This window comes from Homo sapiens, chromosome 11, assembly GCF_000001405.40.
Source record: "Homo sapiens chromosome 11, GRCh38.p14 Primary Assembly".
NCBI classification, from domain to species: Eukaryota; Metazoa; Chordata; class Mammalia; order Primates; family Hominidae; genus Homo; species Homo sapiens.
Window position 1 is genome coordinate 46,395,114 of NC_000011.10, and position 15,618 is coordinate 46,410,731.

General features: G+C 52.8%; 1 protein-coding gene across 10 annotated transcripts in view, besides 1 other annotated feature; it reads right to left on the reverse strand.

Annotated features, from left to right (window-relative positions):
* Positions 1-1,298: 1,298 nt before the first annotated feature.
* The window catches only part of AMBRA1 (autophagy and beclin 1 regulator 1), a 197,612-nt gene continuing 183,292 nt past the window's right edge, over positions 1,299-15,618 (reverse strand). For 9 of the 10 annotated variants that reach the window (NR_160027.1, NM_001367470.1, NM_001367469.1 and 6 more), the window contains 3 exons: positions 15,163-15,255; positions 13,400-13,593; positions 1,301-2,830 (listed from right to left, as the gene is read on the reverse strand). Coding sequence is in view for 9 of the 10 variants with exons in the window: in NM_001367470.1 (NP_001354399.1) it covers positions 2,337-2,830; positions 13,400-13,593; positions 15,163-15,255 (781 nt within the window). In the remaining variant the exon portion in view is untranslated. Of the gene's footprint in view, positions 2,831-13,399; positions 13,594-15,162; positions 15,256-15,618 lie in introns of all 10 variants that reach the window. The other variant, NM_017749.3, reaches the window with a different exon arrangement.
* Positions 12,314-13,101: an enhancer, noted in NCBI's record as "H3K27ac-H3K4me1 hESC enhancer chr11:46428977-46429764 (GRCh37/hg19 assembly coordinates)". NCBI's record gives its function as "activates a minimal SCP1, AML or CMV promoter by ChIP-STARR-seq in naive H9 embryonic stem cells {active_cell/tissue: H9 hESC(naive)}" and the evidence as "EXISTENCE:reporter gene assay evidence [ECO:0000049][PMID:30033119]".

Below are 15,618 nucleotides of genomic sequence, written 5' to 3' on the forward strand. Positions count from 1 at the left end.
ACTTAGGGACTACAGGTGTCTAAATCCCACCTCTGAAAGGAAGCCTGCCCTAGCCACTTGTGTGCTCTCTGGGCTTCAGTGATTCCAAAGTACAGAACTAGAAGTAACTTTGAGGTTGTGTAGTACAAGCCCTGCATCCTAACAAGGGAAAGTGAAGCCCAGAAAAGGCAAATGGCTTGCCCAAAGTCACACAGCTAAGTGATGTGTCTTTCAGTCCAGAGTCCACTAATACAGAATTTTCTAGAAAATAAGAGTCTTCCTAACTCTGGCCATGGTTTTTTATTTCTTGCTTGCCAACTTATCTTTTGGTTTTGTCTCTGTTGGAGCAGAACCTGGAATTCTGAGTGCCCCATGGCATCAGGGACAGATTTGGGCACACACACACACACTCAAAAGTACGTGCTGCTGGCAAAAAGCCCTGGAATTGCTTGGATTTTCCATTAGAGCTCTTGAAGAGTTGGGGCAAATATCCTTTTCCCACTTGAGACGGAGTCTCACTCTGTTGCCCAGGCTGGAGTGCAGTGGCGTGATCTTGACTCACCGCAACCTCTGCCTCCAGGGTTCAAGCCTCCCCAGTAGCTAGGATTACAGGTGCGAGCCACCACGCCTGGCTAATTTTTTTGTATTTTTAGCAGAGACAGGGTTTCACCATGTTGGCCAGGCTGGTCTCAAACTCCTGACCTCAAGTGATCCGCCTGTCTCGGTCTCCCAAAGTGCTGGGATTACAGGCGTGAGCCACCACGCCTGGCCAGCTGGAAGCTTTCAAGCAGCCAAAGCCCACGAATAGAGCAGGCCTTTCGGCCACTGTAGGGAAGACACAGTCAAGGGAGACCTGAGCAGCTAGCAACTGGCACCTTGCCTGCAGATAGGACCAAGCCCCTCCACCTGCCTAGCAGGCTGGACACCTGCTGTGCGTGCTTTCCCAGGACTGGAGGGGATCCAGGTTTCTGGCCAGTTACATCACTTCAGGCCTGTAGTCCTGGGTGGGAAGCTATTAGGATGAATAGCCTTCTGTCGTTCCTTCCTACATACTCACCCTGGCACTGGAAGGTGGCCCCAGTCTGTAGCAGGCCCTGGGGAAGCAGGAAGTGGTGGCGTACAGAGAAGTGGTATGAAGCAGAGGTGGCAGCCCTCACCTGACCAGCTCTGGCGAAGGGGTCAGAGGGGTCCACTGCACCCCACTAGGAGAGCACCAGAAACAGTGCCGGGAGAACCTGGGCCTGGCCCAGTTCAATGCCCCTCACTTCCCAATCCCCACCCCTCCCCCATCCTCCTTGGAAATAAGAGAGAGGAGCCTGGCGAGGGGCATGTCATCATTTTAATGATGTGATCTTTGGTGTTTCCCTCATTAGCTGTAGACTATCCCCTCTCCTCCCACCACAATGTTTCTATGATGAGTTACAAACAGAAAGGAAATCACATTTTCATACTAAAAACAAAATGATCAGAGCCTTGATTTCTCCACTAGAAACTACACGTACAGTTAAGAGTCCACATGCAACACCTTAAATCACAGACTGAGACCTCACATTCTGACCTGGAGTCTCCTCCCCTTCCCCAGCCTTGGGCTAGCTTTGGCCTAGGCTCAGGTAATACTGACACCCACAGGCGCTGCTCTGAGGGCCTTGCGGGGAGAAGACTGGTGGACAAGCCCTGGGGGCTGGCCAGCCTACACCCCCCACTCCTGAGTGAGGACCTGCCCACTGTCCCTTGACCCCATCCTGTATCAGGCAAGCAGGCGCCCCCTTACCCCACAGTAGTCCCCCATTAGTAAATGCCGAAGTCCCTGTCCTCAAGAATCTGGGAGCCTGGCCCGATCCCTGTTGGTTTCAGTGGGGTAAGACGACGAAGAGAGGCTGAAGCTCTGGAAGGCTCAGAGTTGGAGGTGGTGTCTGGGTTCCTGGTGGCTCTGCCCACCCAACAGGTGGACAGGGCAAAGCTGCCTCGCGGGCCTCTGTCCAGGATGATTGGCCCAGATCTGGAAGACTGTTCACTCTCTGGAGGCTCTCTGTCCAGGGCTGAGTCCCCTGAGCCCATGTTACTAGGAGAAAGTGGGGTGCCTGGCAGAGATACCCACTTGTTCCTCTATTCACATTAAGCCCACAGTGTGGCTCTCCCGGGCTCCAGATCCTGGAAGGTTCTAGTTCCCCGAGGCAGGCCTTGCCCATTTGACTGTCTTGTGCCCACTGACTGATCTTCCTCTCCACCCTGACCCTCTTCCTCCTCCTGTTCCCTGATGCAGCCAGCAGCTCTTCCACATGTCCAGTTCCCAGTCAGCTGTGAGGTCCGGTTTCTGCTTGGCGGTTCGAGGGGAGGCACCAGTGCAACGTTTGTCTCTACCTGTTCCGTGGTTCTCCCCTAGGGCCTGCAGCGTCCCCCCTGCTGCTGCCACCATCCAGAAGGTGGTTGTTATTGGTCAACTCGCAGTGGAGGGTTGGTCCCTCAGCGCTGGGAAGGGAAACAGGAATGGGGACAGGGGAGGAAGAGGGCAGGGTTGGCTGGGTTGGCTCCCGCCCAGGGGTACCAGGCTGGTCCCAGGAAGCTGTCCGGGGGCTTAGGCCTCGCTCTGCCAGTTGCCCGGCCTCTGGGAGCAGTCCCCGAGAGGTGGAGGGCTGGGGTGAGGAGGTGTGGGCGGCACCAGGTTCAGTGCCCGTCTGAGAGCTGCGGTGAATGCGGTGGCTGACGATGATGTTGTTGCCGAAGCCGCCCATGGAGGCCATGGTGGTGCTCTGCTCCCGCTGCACCACGGCTGTCATGCCGCCCTCCGCCATCAGCCTCTGGATCCTGCTGAGCGCATCTTCTCCACTGGCACCATACTCTGAACCCTCACCTGGCAGATACAAAGCAGAAGAGAGAGCGAATTGGCTGCTGGCCTGGGCCTCTGAGGCAGGTGGGCAGCCACCGGTAGCAGCTGGGGGATTCTTGACTAAACGCAGGATAGAGAAAGACTCGCTCCATCACTGTGAAAACCAATCCGAGTCTTGAAAGCTAGACAAAACCCCCAAAATGTTCACAATCCATACTTCTGTTTTACTGGTGGGGAAACTGAGGCCTAGGATGGCCAGTTAAGAGGCAGCACTGGCCCAGAAGGCAGCAGGTTGGCCTCAATGAGTTCTCTCAGCACCAGTGGCAGCTTAGCATGCGAGAAGGCAGGTTCAGACAGCTGGTTTTGTCTGCCTGCTCCCTGTTGTGGAAACTCAGCAGACCTAGGGCTGAGCTGGGGTATGCCACCCTTTCTCTGCAAAGAGAGTAGGTACCCTATGGGTGTGGCCCAAAGGGAAACAGTCTGCTCTGCTTCATTACAATGCTGTCTTCCTTCAGCGTAGTTTTGTGTTACCTCCTCAAAGCCCCTGAGGAAGCTGAGAGTTATTTTTATATTGATTGATTGATTGATGGAGTCTCACTCTTTCACCCAGGCTGGAGTGCAGTGGTGCGATCTCAGCTCACTGCAAGCTCTACCTCCTGGGTTCACACCATTCTCCTGCCTCGGCCTCCTGAGTAACTACAGGTGCCCGCCACCACACCCAGCTAATTTTATATTTTTAGTAGAGACAGGGTTTCACCATGTTAACCAGGATGTTCTTGATCTCCTGATCTCGTGATCTGCCCACCTCAGCCTCCCAAAGTGTTGGGATTACAGGTGTGAGCCACTGCGCCTGGCCTATTTTATTTATTTTTGAGACAGAGTCTTGCTCTGTCACCCAAGCTGGAGTGCAGTGGTGTGATCTTGGCTCACTGCAACCTCCGCCTCCCGGGTTCAAGCAATTATCCTGCCTCAGCCTCCCAAGTAGCTGGGATTACAGGCATGCACCATCATACCTGGCTCATTTTTGTATTTTTAGTAGAGATGGTGTTTCCCCATGTTGGCCAGGCTGGTTTCGAGCTCCTGACCTCAGGTGATCCACCCTCCTCGGCCTCCCAAAGTGCTAGGATTACAGGCGTGAGCCACCACGCCTGGCCATATTTATTTATTTTTTTGAAATGGAGTTTTGTTCTAGTCGCCCAGGCTGGAGTGCAATGATGCGATCTCAGCTCACTGCAACCTCCACTTCCTGGGTTCAAGCCATTCTTCCGCCTCAGCCTCCGAGTAGCTGGGATTACAGGTGCCCGCCACCACACCCAGCTAATTTTTGTATTTTTAGTAGAGACGGGGTTTCACCATGTTAGCCAGGCCAGTCTCGAACTCCTGACCTCAGGTAATCTGCCTGCCTCAGCCTCCCAAAAGGCTGGGATTATAGGCATGAGCCACCGTGCCCAGCCTTTGTTTTTTGAGATGGAGTTTTGCTCTTGTCACTCAGGCTGAAGTGCAGTGGCACAATCTTGGCTCACTGCAACCTCCACCTCCCAGGTTCAAGCGATTCTCCTGCCTCAGCCTCCTGAGTAGCTGGGATTACAGGCTCCCACCACACCTGGCTAATTTTTTGTATTTTTAGTAGAGATGGGGTTCCACCATGTTGGCCAGGCTGCTCTCGACCTCCTGACTTCAGGCGATCCGCCCACCTAGGCCTCCCAAAGTGTTGGGATTACAGGCGTGAGCCACCGTGCCTGGTCAGAAGCTGAGAGTTTTAACTGTTCCTTGGAAGGGCTGTTTCCTTCTCTTCTTTCCCTTTACCCCCCAGTCTTCACAAGCTATTCCCCAGTTATTGTTCTCCTGGGGCTCAATGCCTGATGCCATATTTCCCGGAAAAGAGTCAACTGACCAGCACAGGACCCAGGTCTAGGGAGGGAGAGAAGGATCTGTCCGCCACTCCCTCTGCAGAAATGCCTGAGCATTCCCTTGTGTGGGAACAGAAAAGACTTCGGCTCAAATCTCAGCTGTCACTTGCTTGCTGGGTGACCTTGAAAAAAATCCCTAACATCTACCTTGCACGGTGCTGGAGAGAGAAAAGGAGCTAACGCACAGCCCAGGCACTTGGTCAACGGTGCCTGTTGTGATTAACTTGGGGTCTGCAGCAGTGGAGCTCTATTGCTGTGGGACCTCCCTTCCAGCTTTCTGCTCAGCTCTTGGTAGGGTGAGAACCAGGCCAAGACCGTGGGCAACTATGATCAAGGCTCTGAGGCTGCGAGGGATGGCTCCACTGAACTGCTGATTTGTCTCCATCAGCTACTGTTTGGAATTTTGCAGTTTTGGGGGTTTTGATGGTGAGTTTTCTTTCCTTTTGGGGTACTTGCCAGCAGCTATTTTTATGAGACTTTCTTTGCTCCCCTAACCCCATCCATCCCCTTCTCTCTGCCTGCCTCATTAGAGTTGGATTTCCAGGCCAGCCAGTTTCACAGCTTGGTGGCATCTAAGGCCCCAAGAGATCTCTCACCCTTCTTGTTGGTACTTGGCAGCCTCATGCTTCTAGTTCTTTCTATAGTTTTTTTTTTTTTTTTTTTTTTTTTTTTTTTTTTTTGAGACCAGGTCTCGCTATGTCACCTAAACTGGAGTGCAATGGTACAAACATGGCTCACTGTAGCTTAGCCTCTTGGGTGCAAGTGATCCACCCACCTCAGCCTCCTGAGTAGTAGGGAGTACAGGCAAGCACCACTCCTGGCTAATTTTTTGTACTTTTTGCAGAGACGGTTTCGCCGTGTTGCCCAGGCTGGTCTTGAACTCCTGGGCTCAAGCAATCCTCCTGCCTTGGCCTCCCAAAATGCTGGGATTACATGGGTGAGTCACTGCGCCCAGCCCCAGTCTTAGACGATCTTCCTCAGCATTATGTCCTCTCTTGCTTTTCTGGACAACCCCTGATAAAGCACTGCCCTCCATCCCTCAAGGTGGCTGCCCTTCCCCACTTCCTCCTGGGACACCCGGCTCCAGCTCCCAGGGCAGAAGGAGAGAAAACCTGAAGGGCTCTCAGAGTACTGGGTCAACCCCATCTTCAGGTTTTAAAGCCTTCTAACAGTGGGGCAGAAGGTAAGAAGAAAAAAGTCAACCTACGGCCTTGGTGCCCACAGAGATTCTACCCTGGGAGCCAAGGGCTGCCTGGGGAGGTCCCCTGGGGCCCTCCCTGTGCTCACTGTAGCCCCAATGCTTTCTCAGAACTCTGTGCACTGAAGCCCTCGCAGCATGGTCTGGGGCGTGCTGTGGCTGGCCTGAGGCCTGCTGGCATTGGAGTGCACTGTGCCAGGCGCTGTGCCTAGTGAATTCTCAGCTCTTTTCGAGACAGAGTCTCGCTCTGTCGCCCAGACTGGAGTGCAGTGACATGATCTCAGCTCACTGCAACCTCCACTTCCCGGGTTCATGCAATTCTCCTGCCTCAGCCTCCCGAGTAGCTGGGACTACAGGCATGTGCCACCATACCCAGCTAATTTTTGTATTTTTAGTAGAGACAGTGTTTCATCATGCTGGCCAGGCTGGTATCAGACTCCTGACCTTGTGATCCACCCACTTGGACCTCCCAAAGTTCTGGGAGGCATGAGCCACCGCACCCAGCTCAGCTCTTCTCAAGTAGATTACCAGGGGCAGAACAGGCTGCCTTGGGGCCCTATGGGTGCTGCTGCAGCCAAGCCCCCAGAGAGCCCCGGATGGGCTTTCCCAGGCTCTGCGGGAGGCCCTGCTGCTGGCACTCAAGTCTGAGCCCACTGCTTGCTTGCCTATGGCTCCAGGCCTGGCCACCCCTCTCTATGGCTATGACTGTGTCCTAACTGGGCTTCTTGCTTCCAGTCTCCTCCCCTTCCGTCTAGTCTCCACACTGTTCCTATTACCATCCTAATTCAGCTCTGCTGACTTGAGCTCTGGTTAAGTCTGCACCCTGTTCAAAACCCAGCAGCTGCAAAAGCCCTCACAGTAGTCAAAACTCCTTAGCTTGACATTTGAGGGCTCTCTGGCCAGACCCTTATCATGCTGCAGACCTTCCTGCCCTGTCCCCCACATTCCTGCAGGTACCCGGCAGCCCTGCTCCCTGCCTGCACAGATGGGCATACACTGTGCACACTGTGCCATGCTCTCGTCCCATCTCCTCTGCCACCCACTTCTCTCTGGTCCCCCAGCTAGAAGGGGATGCTCCTTCTCTGGGACCTCACAGTGCTTCACAACTCCCCGTAGCTGTGGCATCTCTCTTCTGGCCTATAAGTTCCTGAAGGTCTTGGACTCAGCTGTATTCTCTTTTCAGCCAAGTCTAACACGTGGGTTTACACTGGGCGTGTATTTGTCAAATACATGTATGTATTAATAAAAGGGCTCCCAGGCTCCTCACAGGGGCTCCAGACTTAAGGATGCTTGGAAAACCGGTCTTGTAACTGCCCATTGTGGGAGAAGCATTTATTTTATTTTATTTTTTTGAGACGGAGTCTTGCTCTGTTGCCCAGGCTGGAGTGCGGTGGCGAGATCTCAGCTCACTACAACCTCCGCCTCCCAGGTTCAAGCAATTCTCCTGCCTCAGCCTCCCGAGTAGCTGGGATTACATGTGTGCACCACCACACTTAGCTAATTTTTTTTTGTATTTTTAGTAGAGATGGGGTTTCACCACATTGGCCAGGCTGGTCTCGAACTCCTGACCTTGTGATCTGCCTGCCTCAGCCTCCCAAAGTGCTGGGATTACAGGCATGAGCCACTGGAGAAGCACTTACATGTCTAGTTCTCTCTGGACTTGCTCTTTGAGGGAAGAGACACAATGGATTCATCTCAATGTAATTCCCTCCACAGTGCCCTTGAATTCATGGTGCCGAACACAATACCAGACACAAAGTAAGTGCTCAAAAAAGAATGAATGGAAGATTTTAAAATGTACAAACAAATGGCTCCCCCAGGGCTCGGTGTGGACAGCTTCAGCCTACAGAACTATGAGCTATGCTTCCCTCCTGGGAACTCTAAGCCAAGGCTAAGAGCAACTGAGGAGAGCTGGCACATTCTTCAAGAGAAAAAATACCAGGGCTAGAGGGAAATGGCAGTTACAGTCAGGGATCCAGGCACAGTGGCAGACAGGGGGTTAATTCTGCAGTCTCCTCCTCTGTAGCAAAAGCATCTGTTTTTGTCTTTGAAAATAGGAAATTGATTTAGAGTTCACATGAGGTCTCTTCCTTGGCAAGTCCTAAGGTACACTCTAGAAGCAGAGGCCAGGGTAGGATCAACAAGTTCCCACCATGCCCTACAACCATATTTAATTCTAGAGATTTCATTGCCAGAAGAGCCAAAGAGGGAACTGAGGCTCAGAGAGTCACAGGAGGAGCTGCCCTTCCTGACCTCTGGGAGTACTGGTCTTCCAGCCCCTCCCTCTTCACATTTGCTTTTTCCTGGCCCAGGGCCCAGGCTACTGCTGCTGGTCTACCGACCATCTTCACCAGACAAAACAGAGGCTCAGATGACCTTTGCTACGGGTCAGGGGCACAGCCATGGTGCTCTCCAAATAGTGGGGCACAGCCATGCTCAGAGGCAGGGCCTTGCCTCAGCTCAGCTAAACTCATTAATTCCATGCTTGCCCTGAATGCCCACTGCAAGCTAGGGAGGCACTGTCATCAGTGCTGGAAGCCAACGGTGAGCCCAGGAAATGCTTCCCTCCCTTTTCGAGCTATGCTCTTGGCCAGCAGGGTAGGAAAGCTTGCTGTAGAGTCAAATTCTGGGAGAAGTCAAACTCTTGTTAAAGTTGAACATGCAAAAAAGCTGACGCGTGCAAATACCCCTGTGGAGGGCTCCTCCTGGAAGGCCTGGAAAGAGCTGAATGGATTTCAACCACATTTTTATAGAACAAGAAAATGAGAAGTAGCCTAGGAGCCCTTTGGTGCTAACTGACAGAAAAGGGCCAAGGGGAGTGGGGAGGGGCAGGGCACAGAACAGCAATTACCACAAGCAGAGCAGGCTTCCCACATTAATAAATCTGTGTGGCTGCATGTGGCGGCTCACGCCTATAATCCCAGTACTTTGGGAGGCCAAGGTGGGAGGATCACTGGAGCCCAGGAGTTCGAGACCAGCCTGGGCAACATGGTGAAACCCTGTCTCTACAACAAACAAAATAAACAAAATTAGCCAGGCGTGGTGGCGTGTGCCAGGAGGCTGAGGTGGGAGGATCCCTTGAGCCCAGGAGGTCGAGGCTGCAGTGAGCCGTGTTCGTGTCACTGTACTCCAGCCTGGATGGAAGAGCGAGATCTTGTCTCAAAAAATAAAAACAAAATAAATAAATCTTGGTGCCTGTAGCAGGTGTGAGTACAGGTGGGATCTCCCTTCTAGCCCAGCCCAGAAGAGCTGAACTCCCTGACCAGAGGGTTTCACTATCCATGCTCTTGCAGCTCTGGTTTTGTCAATACAAAACCTGCCAGCTGCCTCTGCATGGGGAAATCTGGGCTCAAAGAGAGCCCTGATCCCTGGGCTCCCCTGAAGAGTCTGACAGCACAATAGTGGTGTGAGTGCCTCAGAGCAAGGCTCCTTGCCCTAGGAGGGACAAGGCTGGAGAATGACACCCATCCATCAAGTGCCCATACCCTCTGACCCACACCTCCCCTGCCCTGACTGGTTTCTGAAAGGGGTATGGTGTGTGGAACAGCTGTGGGTACAGGGTATACGCAGAGCATGCAGGGATGCAGGCAGGCAGAAGCAGCCAGCTGCCCGGTCTCACTCTGCCTGCTGCTCCCGCTGACCAGAGCCTCAGCTTAGCTGGGGCCATCCTCTACCGCCTACTCTACTTTACAGGAGGAGGGGATAGTGGGGCGAGGAACCAGGTCTTGCCTCCTAAAACCAGGGAAAAGAGCTCCTTCCCTCTGCCCCACCCTCTGTCCCCATCCCCCCAAAAGAATGAAAGGAACTTATAATTGACTAGAAGCCAGAAATGGGCTGCATGCTAACCAAGAAAACAGCAGAGAATTCTCTGGGAGGTGAAACACCAGCAGACATACTTCTGAAGGTGGCAGCTCCTGCTCCCAGAGCCCCAGCATGTCACCTTCAGGCTGAAGGCCTCACTCCCAGCCCAGTCCCAGTAACTTGCCTTCCCCACTCATCCAGTGTCAGTTCTCCACATGCACCAGACATGCCATGAACACAAATTAGTGGTCCTTTATGCAGTAACATGTCTTTGAACTTGGTGCCATTTCATGTGCTGAGACATGTCTCCAGGAATGCTTCCCCACCACCCTACTTCACCTGACTCCTATTCATCCTTGAAGACTAGGCTCAGGGCCACCTCCTCCAGGAGTCTCCCCTAAACCCCACAGGCTGGGCAAAGCCCCTCCTCCTCTATGCTCCAGAGGTCCTCATCACACTAAAACAATTATCAGTTTAGGTGCCCATCTCCCTCTCTAGACTGCGAGCTCCTCATGGAAGGACAGAGAGGCCTACTTGTCTTCACCGCTTTTACCAAGTGGCTGACACATGGTAAAAGCTCAGTGAAATCAAATCAGAAAGGGCTGCCCAGCCGGGTGCAGTGCTTCATGCCTGTAATTCCAGCACTTTGGGAGGCCAAGAAGGGAGGCTTGCTTGAAGCTAGGAGTTCAAGACCAGCCCAGGCAACACGGTGAGACCCTATCTCTAAAAAAAAATAATGATTAAAAAAATAGCCAGGCATGGTGGCACACACCTGTAGTCCCAGCTAGTCAGTAGGCTGAGGCAGGAAGATCGCTTGAGCCTAGGAGTTCAGGACTGCAGTGAGCCATGATGGTGCCACTGTACTCCAGCCTGAGTGACAGAGTGAGACTCTATCTTTATTTCATTTATTTATTTATATTTGAGACAGGGTCTCACTCTGTCTTCCAGGCTGGAGTGCAGTGGCATATCACAGCTCACTGCAGTCGCCACCTTCCAGGCTCAAGCAATCTTCCTGCCTCCAGCCTCCAGAGTAGCTGGGACTACAGATGCGTGCCACCATGCTCGGCTAATTTTTTGTATATTTAGTAGAGACAAGGTTTTGCTGTGTTGCCCAGGCTGGTCTTGAACTCCAGGACTCAACAGATCCTCCTGCCTTGGCCTCCTAAAGTGCTGGGACTACAGGTGTGAGCTACCATGCCCAGCTGAGATTCTGTCTTTATTTATTTATTGTATTATTATTTTTGAGACAGAGTCTTGCTTTGTTGCCCAGGCTGGAGTGCAGTGGTGTGATTTTGGCTCATTGCAACCTCTGCCTCCCAGGTTCAAGTGATTCTCCTGCCTCAGCCACCTCAGTAGCTGGGATTACAGGTGCCCACCACCATGCCCGGCTAATTTTTGTGTTTTTAGTAGAGACAGCGTTTCACCATGTTGGCCAGCTGGTCTTGAACTCCTGATCTCAAGTGATCTGCCCACCTCGGCCTCCCAAAGTTGCTAGAATTACAGGCGTGAGCCACCACACCCAGCTGAGACTCTATCTTTAAATTAAAAAAAAAAAAAAAAAAAAAGGTCCGGGTGTGGTGGCTCACACCTGTAACTCCAGCACTTTGGGAGGCCAAGGTGGGAGGATCACTTGATCCCAGGAGTTCAAGGCCAGCAAGGGCAACATAGTGAGACCCCATCTCAAAAACAAAACAAAACAAACAACACTCTCTTCCAGTGACTGCTATTTGCACATACATATATACATACTACAAACACACATAAGGGGCTGGCTAGGTATGGTGGCTCACGCCTGTAATCCCAGCACTTTGGGAGGCTGAGGTGGGCATATCACTTGAGGTCAGGAGTTCAAGACCAGCCTGGCCAACATGGCGAAACCCCGTCTCTACTAAAAAATACAAAAATTAGTTGGGAGTGGTGGCAGGAGCCTGTAATCCCAGCTACTCGGGAGGCTGAGGCAGACAGAATCACTTGAACCTGGGAGGCAGAGGTTGCAGTAAGCTGAGATTGCACCACTGCACTCCAGCCTCTGCGACAGAGTGAGACTCCATCTCAAAAAATAAAAAAACAGGCCAGGCACGGTGGCTCACGCCTTTAATCCCAGCACTTTGGGAGTCCGAGGTAGGCGGATCACGAGGTCAGGAGTTCGAGACCAGCCTGGACAACATGGTGAAACCCTGTCTCTACTAAAAATACAGAAATTAGCCGGGAGTGGTGGCACATGCCTGTAATCCCAGCTACTTGGGAGGCTGAGGCAGGAGAATCACTTGAACTCGGGAAGCGGTGGTTGCAGTGAGCTGAGATCGCAGAGGCTGAAGTGAGCCGAGATCATGCCACTGCACTCCAGCTTAGGTGACAGAGTGAGACTCTGTCTCAAAAATAAATAAATAAATAAATAAAAATAAAAAGAAGGGGCTGCCTAAGAGAATGGCCCACTTCTCCAAATCCCTCTCGCTGTCAGGGGTTACTGGGAGCTCTGAGAGGTTTGCCTCCTACTGAGAGGGCTGGCCTGCTGGCTCCATTGAGAAGCCCGTGGTGGTTCCCTTTTGCCTGGCCCTCAGGCTTCCTGGAAAAGGCCTAATGGACTCCAGAGCAGCTCAGAGTCCACAGAAACCTGCAAAAAAGGGCCTGAAGATGGCAGAAGGAGCCTTCCACCACCTCCTCCCAGAGGCTCACAGCGGAGGTTGGCTGCTCCAGCCAGCACCACCTTATGGTCATGGCCCCAGCGAGGGGCTTCCACCAAGCACAAATGCAGGAGGTGGGCTGTGCTACAGACCAAAGAGGGACTTCACTTTGAAAATTCTCAGTTCATGGCATCGCAAGCGACCACGCAATACCCTGTTGGGGACTGCGGTGTAGAAAGCCATTCCCTGGGGTGATAGGCACGTTTGTTATTCTTTGCCTGACGTGCACCGTGGCTTTTCCTCCCATGGTCTCTTCTGGGCAAATGGCTCAACACAGACTTAGAAAATGTGTCTGTTTGGAGGCTGCTTTGTTTGGAGCTAGGATCAGCAAGGGGGCTGGAGGTAGGGGGTGAGGATAGCAACTGAGTGAGAACAGCCTGTTTAACACAGCTGCTGACGGACTCCTAAGTGGCTCGAACTCTGCTGCTGGGAAGTGCTAATTGGTTTTTAAAAGTGTGAGGCTGGCACAGAGAGTCAGGGCCGAGTGTGGCAGAGCCACACCTGAAATAGGTGAGAGGAAGGGGCTGATGATAGGCCAGGCTGCAGCCAAAATGTCAACGAGCCCCAGGTGTGACAGGATTGTGAGAGGTCCTCCCATGGGGCAGTCCCAAATCTGCCACACTGGTAGGGGGACGACAAGCTAGGCTGTGGTTTGGCCCCAGAAGCTAAGGCCTGGGGTGTACTTCTCTGGAATGGCAGCTTGCAGGAGGGAGTCTCCCTTTAGCCCTTTCAATCCAGGCTTTCTGTGCTCTCTCTTTGGAAAAAGAGACAGGGTCCTCACATTTTAGAGGAGAGGGACATCAGTGTACTTGGTGGGAGTTGAGGCGAGCTGCAAGAGTGACCCAGCTCAGGGAAACCATGTCGCTGCTGAGGAGGCTCTTAATGCCACCAGGTGGGCATCACCCAGACATGGGAGGGGGTATGCATCCTGAGTGGGAAGTGGCACTCACTCGGTCTTAGGGTCCCTCTCCCACCCCCTCCAGCGCCACATGGCTCCTACCTTCACCAGGACCTGAGGCGGCTGTCCCTGGCTCCGGCACCTCCCTCTCAGTCTGTGTTTCGGCATTCTGCAGCTGAAGGGCCAGAGTCTGGGTGCCCTGAGATGTCACTGAGGTGGCAGGGTTCCGGGGCTGAAGCCCAATGGCATTCATCAGCCCCATGTCTCTGTCTGTCCTCCATGTGGCTCTGCTGGTTCTAGGGAGAGAAAGGCAGACTAAAGTCAGATGGGGCTTGGGACAGCACCCCTCACAGCACTCTGCTGGCTCTGTGCCAATCCTCAGGGCAGTGTGGGCCAGGCCCTGCAGGCTAAGAGAAGCCCTGTGCTCCTGCAACTACATCTTGATGGTGGTTAACTTGTCTGTGTCCATTCTCCCCCAAGGTTAGTCTATACCCTAGAACAATGAAAGGCCACAGAAACATCCAATCTTGCAACCCTGGCTCACTCAGTCATGCCCTTCAACAACAGGCCCCTGTCGGGGAGTGGGGAGGAGCTGTAGAGATGGCTGATCTGAAAAGACTAATGAAATTCAGGAGGCCAGTAGCTGAGATCATGGGATAAAGAGTGAGCACTAGAAGAAGGTCCTTTCTCTCTTTAGCTTTACCTTCCTTCCAACTGTATGCTCATAAGATTCCACTTTGAATTCTTGAATTTGCAAGTGAACTGAGAACTCCACTTTGGAAGGAAAGAACTGGAACTCTTTTTTTTTTTTTGGTGAGACAGTCTCGCCCTGTCACCCAGGCTGTAGTGGCGCAATCTCAGCTCACTGCAACCTCTGCCTCCAGGATTCAAGCGATTCTCCTGCCTCAGCCTCCCGAGTAGCTGGGATTACAGGCATACACCACCATGCTCGGCTAATTTTTGTATTTTTAGTAGAGAGGGGTTTCACCATGTTGGCCAGGATGGTCTCCATCTCCTGACCTCGTGATCCGCCCGCCTCAGCCTCCCAAAGTGCTGGGATTACAGGCATGAGCCACCGCGCCCATCCAGGACTGGAACTCTTATGAGGCTGTTCTGGGATCCTCTTTCCAGGGCCTTCTGAAAACAGACCCTTGCAGGTAGGGAGCACAGGCTGTCCTACAAGGAAGGTTCTGGCCAATGCTAGCATCCCCCTTCCTTGGGCATCTCCCAGGCACTGCCTTGGAATAGCTGGAGCTGGCAGCAGAGGCAGCCCAGGCCTTTTGAGACTATCACCAGACACTCACATTTCTAGCTGCTTCTGGGACTATTCCTCCAGCTATGCTCAGCAATTCCTAGGGGAAGTAGCAATTGCTTTGGGTTTATCAACAACCCAGCGCTTTGTTCCAGTCTTCATTAGTGAATTAAGTGATGAAAGGATCAGTACCAGATTTCTACTAATGGGTGCCTCAAGAGGATTTGTCCCTGGGCTACAGCCCTGGGCAGCTTGGTCCCTGAGGTCCTGGTCATCTGGAAGAGCCTGGGCCATGGAGCAGACTTCATGGGGCGGCATCCTTCTCCAGGCCCTATCTTCTCTCCTCACCCCAAGTGTGCCCAGGCACCATGGCCAGGATGGGAGAGGGCCAGGGGGTGGTTCTACAGCAAGACTCTGAGAGCAGAGCTTTTGTTCTCTTTCTTAGCCACACAACACTTTTCTCAAATGAAACTGTACACAAAAGATCAAGGAGGTGCTGCTCTGGTTGAGGAGGGACCCAGAGCCCTAGAGGGCGCTGCTTAAGAGCCCATCAAAAGCAGGAGGAAGGGATGGGCCTCCAGCCAGCTGCTCCCTGCCTACTTCCCAAACATACCCAGGCCGCTCGCTGCTCCTGCTGTTGGAATGGACAGTGAAGACCGTCTCGTTCAGCTGGTCCCAGTAGTACTCAACACCAGAGTTTAAGGCCCTAAAAATCAGTTGGGAAGGGTAAAGAAGAAGGTGAAAGGCATTAGAGAGGGAAGGATAAGAGCTCCTGAAACTCCTGGCTTTGTGGACTGTGGCTGCCCATCCTTTCTCTCTCCTGGGGCTGAGCTGAAACCAAGACCAGAGCTGCTGCCTCATCAGGATGCTCAGTGCTGGATCAATTCAGACAAATCTCTAATAGCCTAAATGCCTGGAATGGTGGGTTTAGCTTCTCCCTTCCCCCTGACAAGCCTAACCGGCTCCTCCTCGGAGCTAAGAGACAGCTAAAAAAATAGCAACAACAGATACAGGCAGTGGGTCCTGAGTATTCTTCAGACACAGAGAAAGGAACTAAGATGGCAAATGT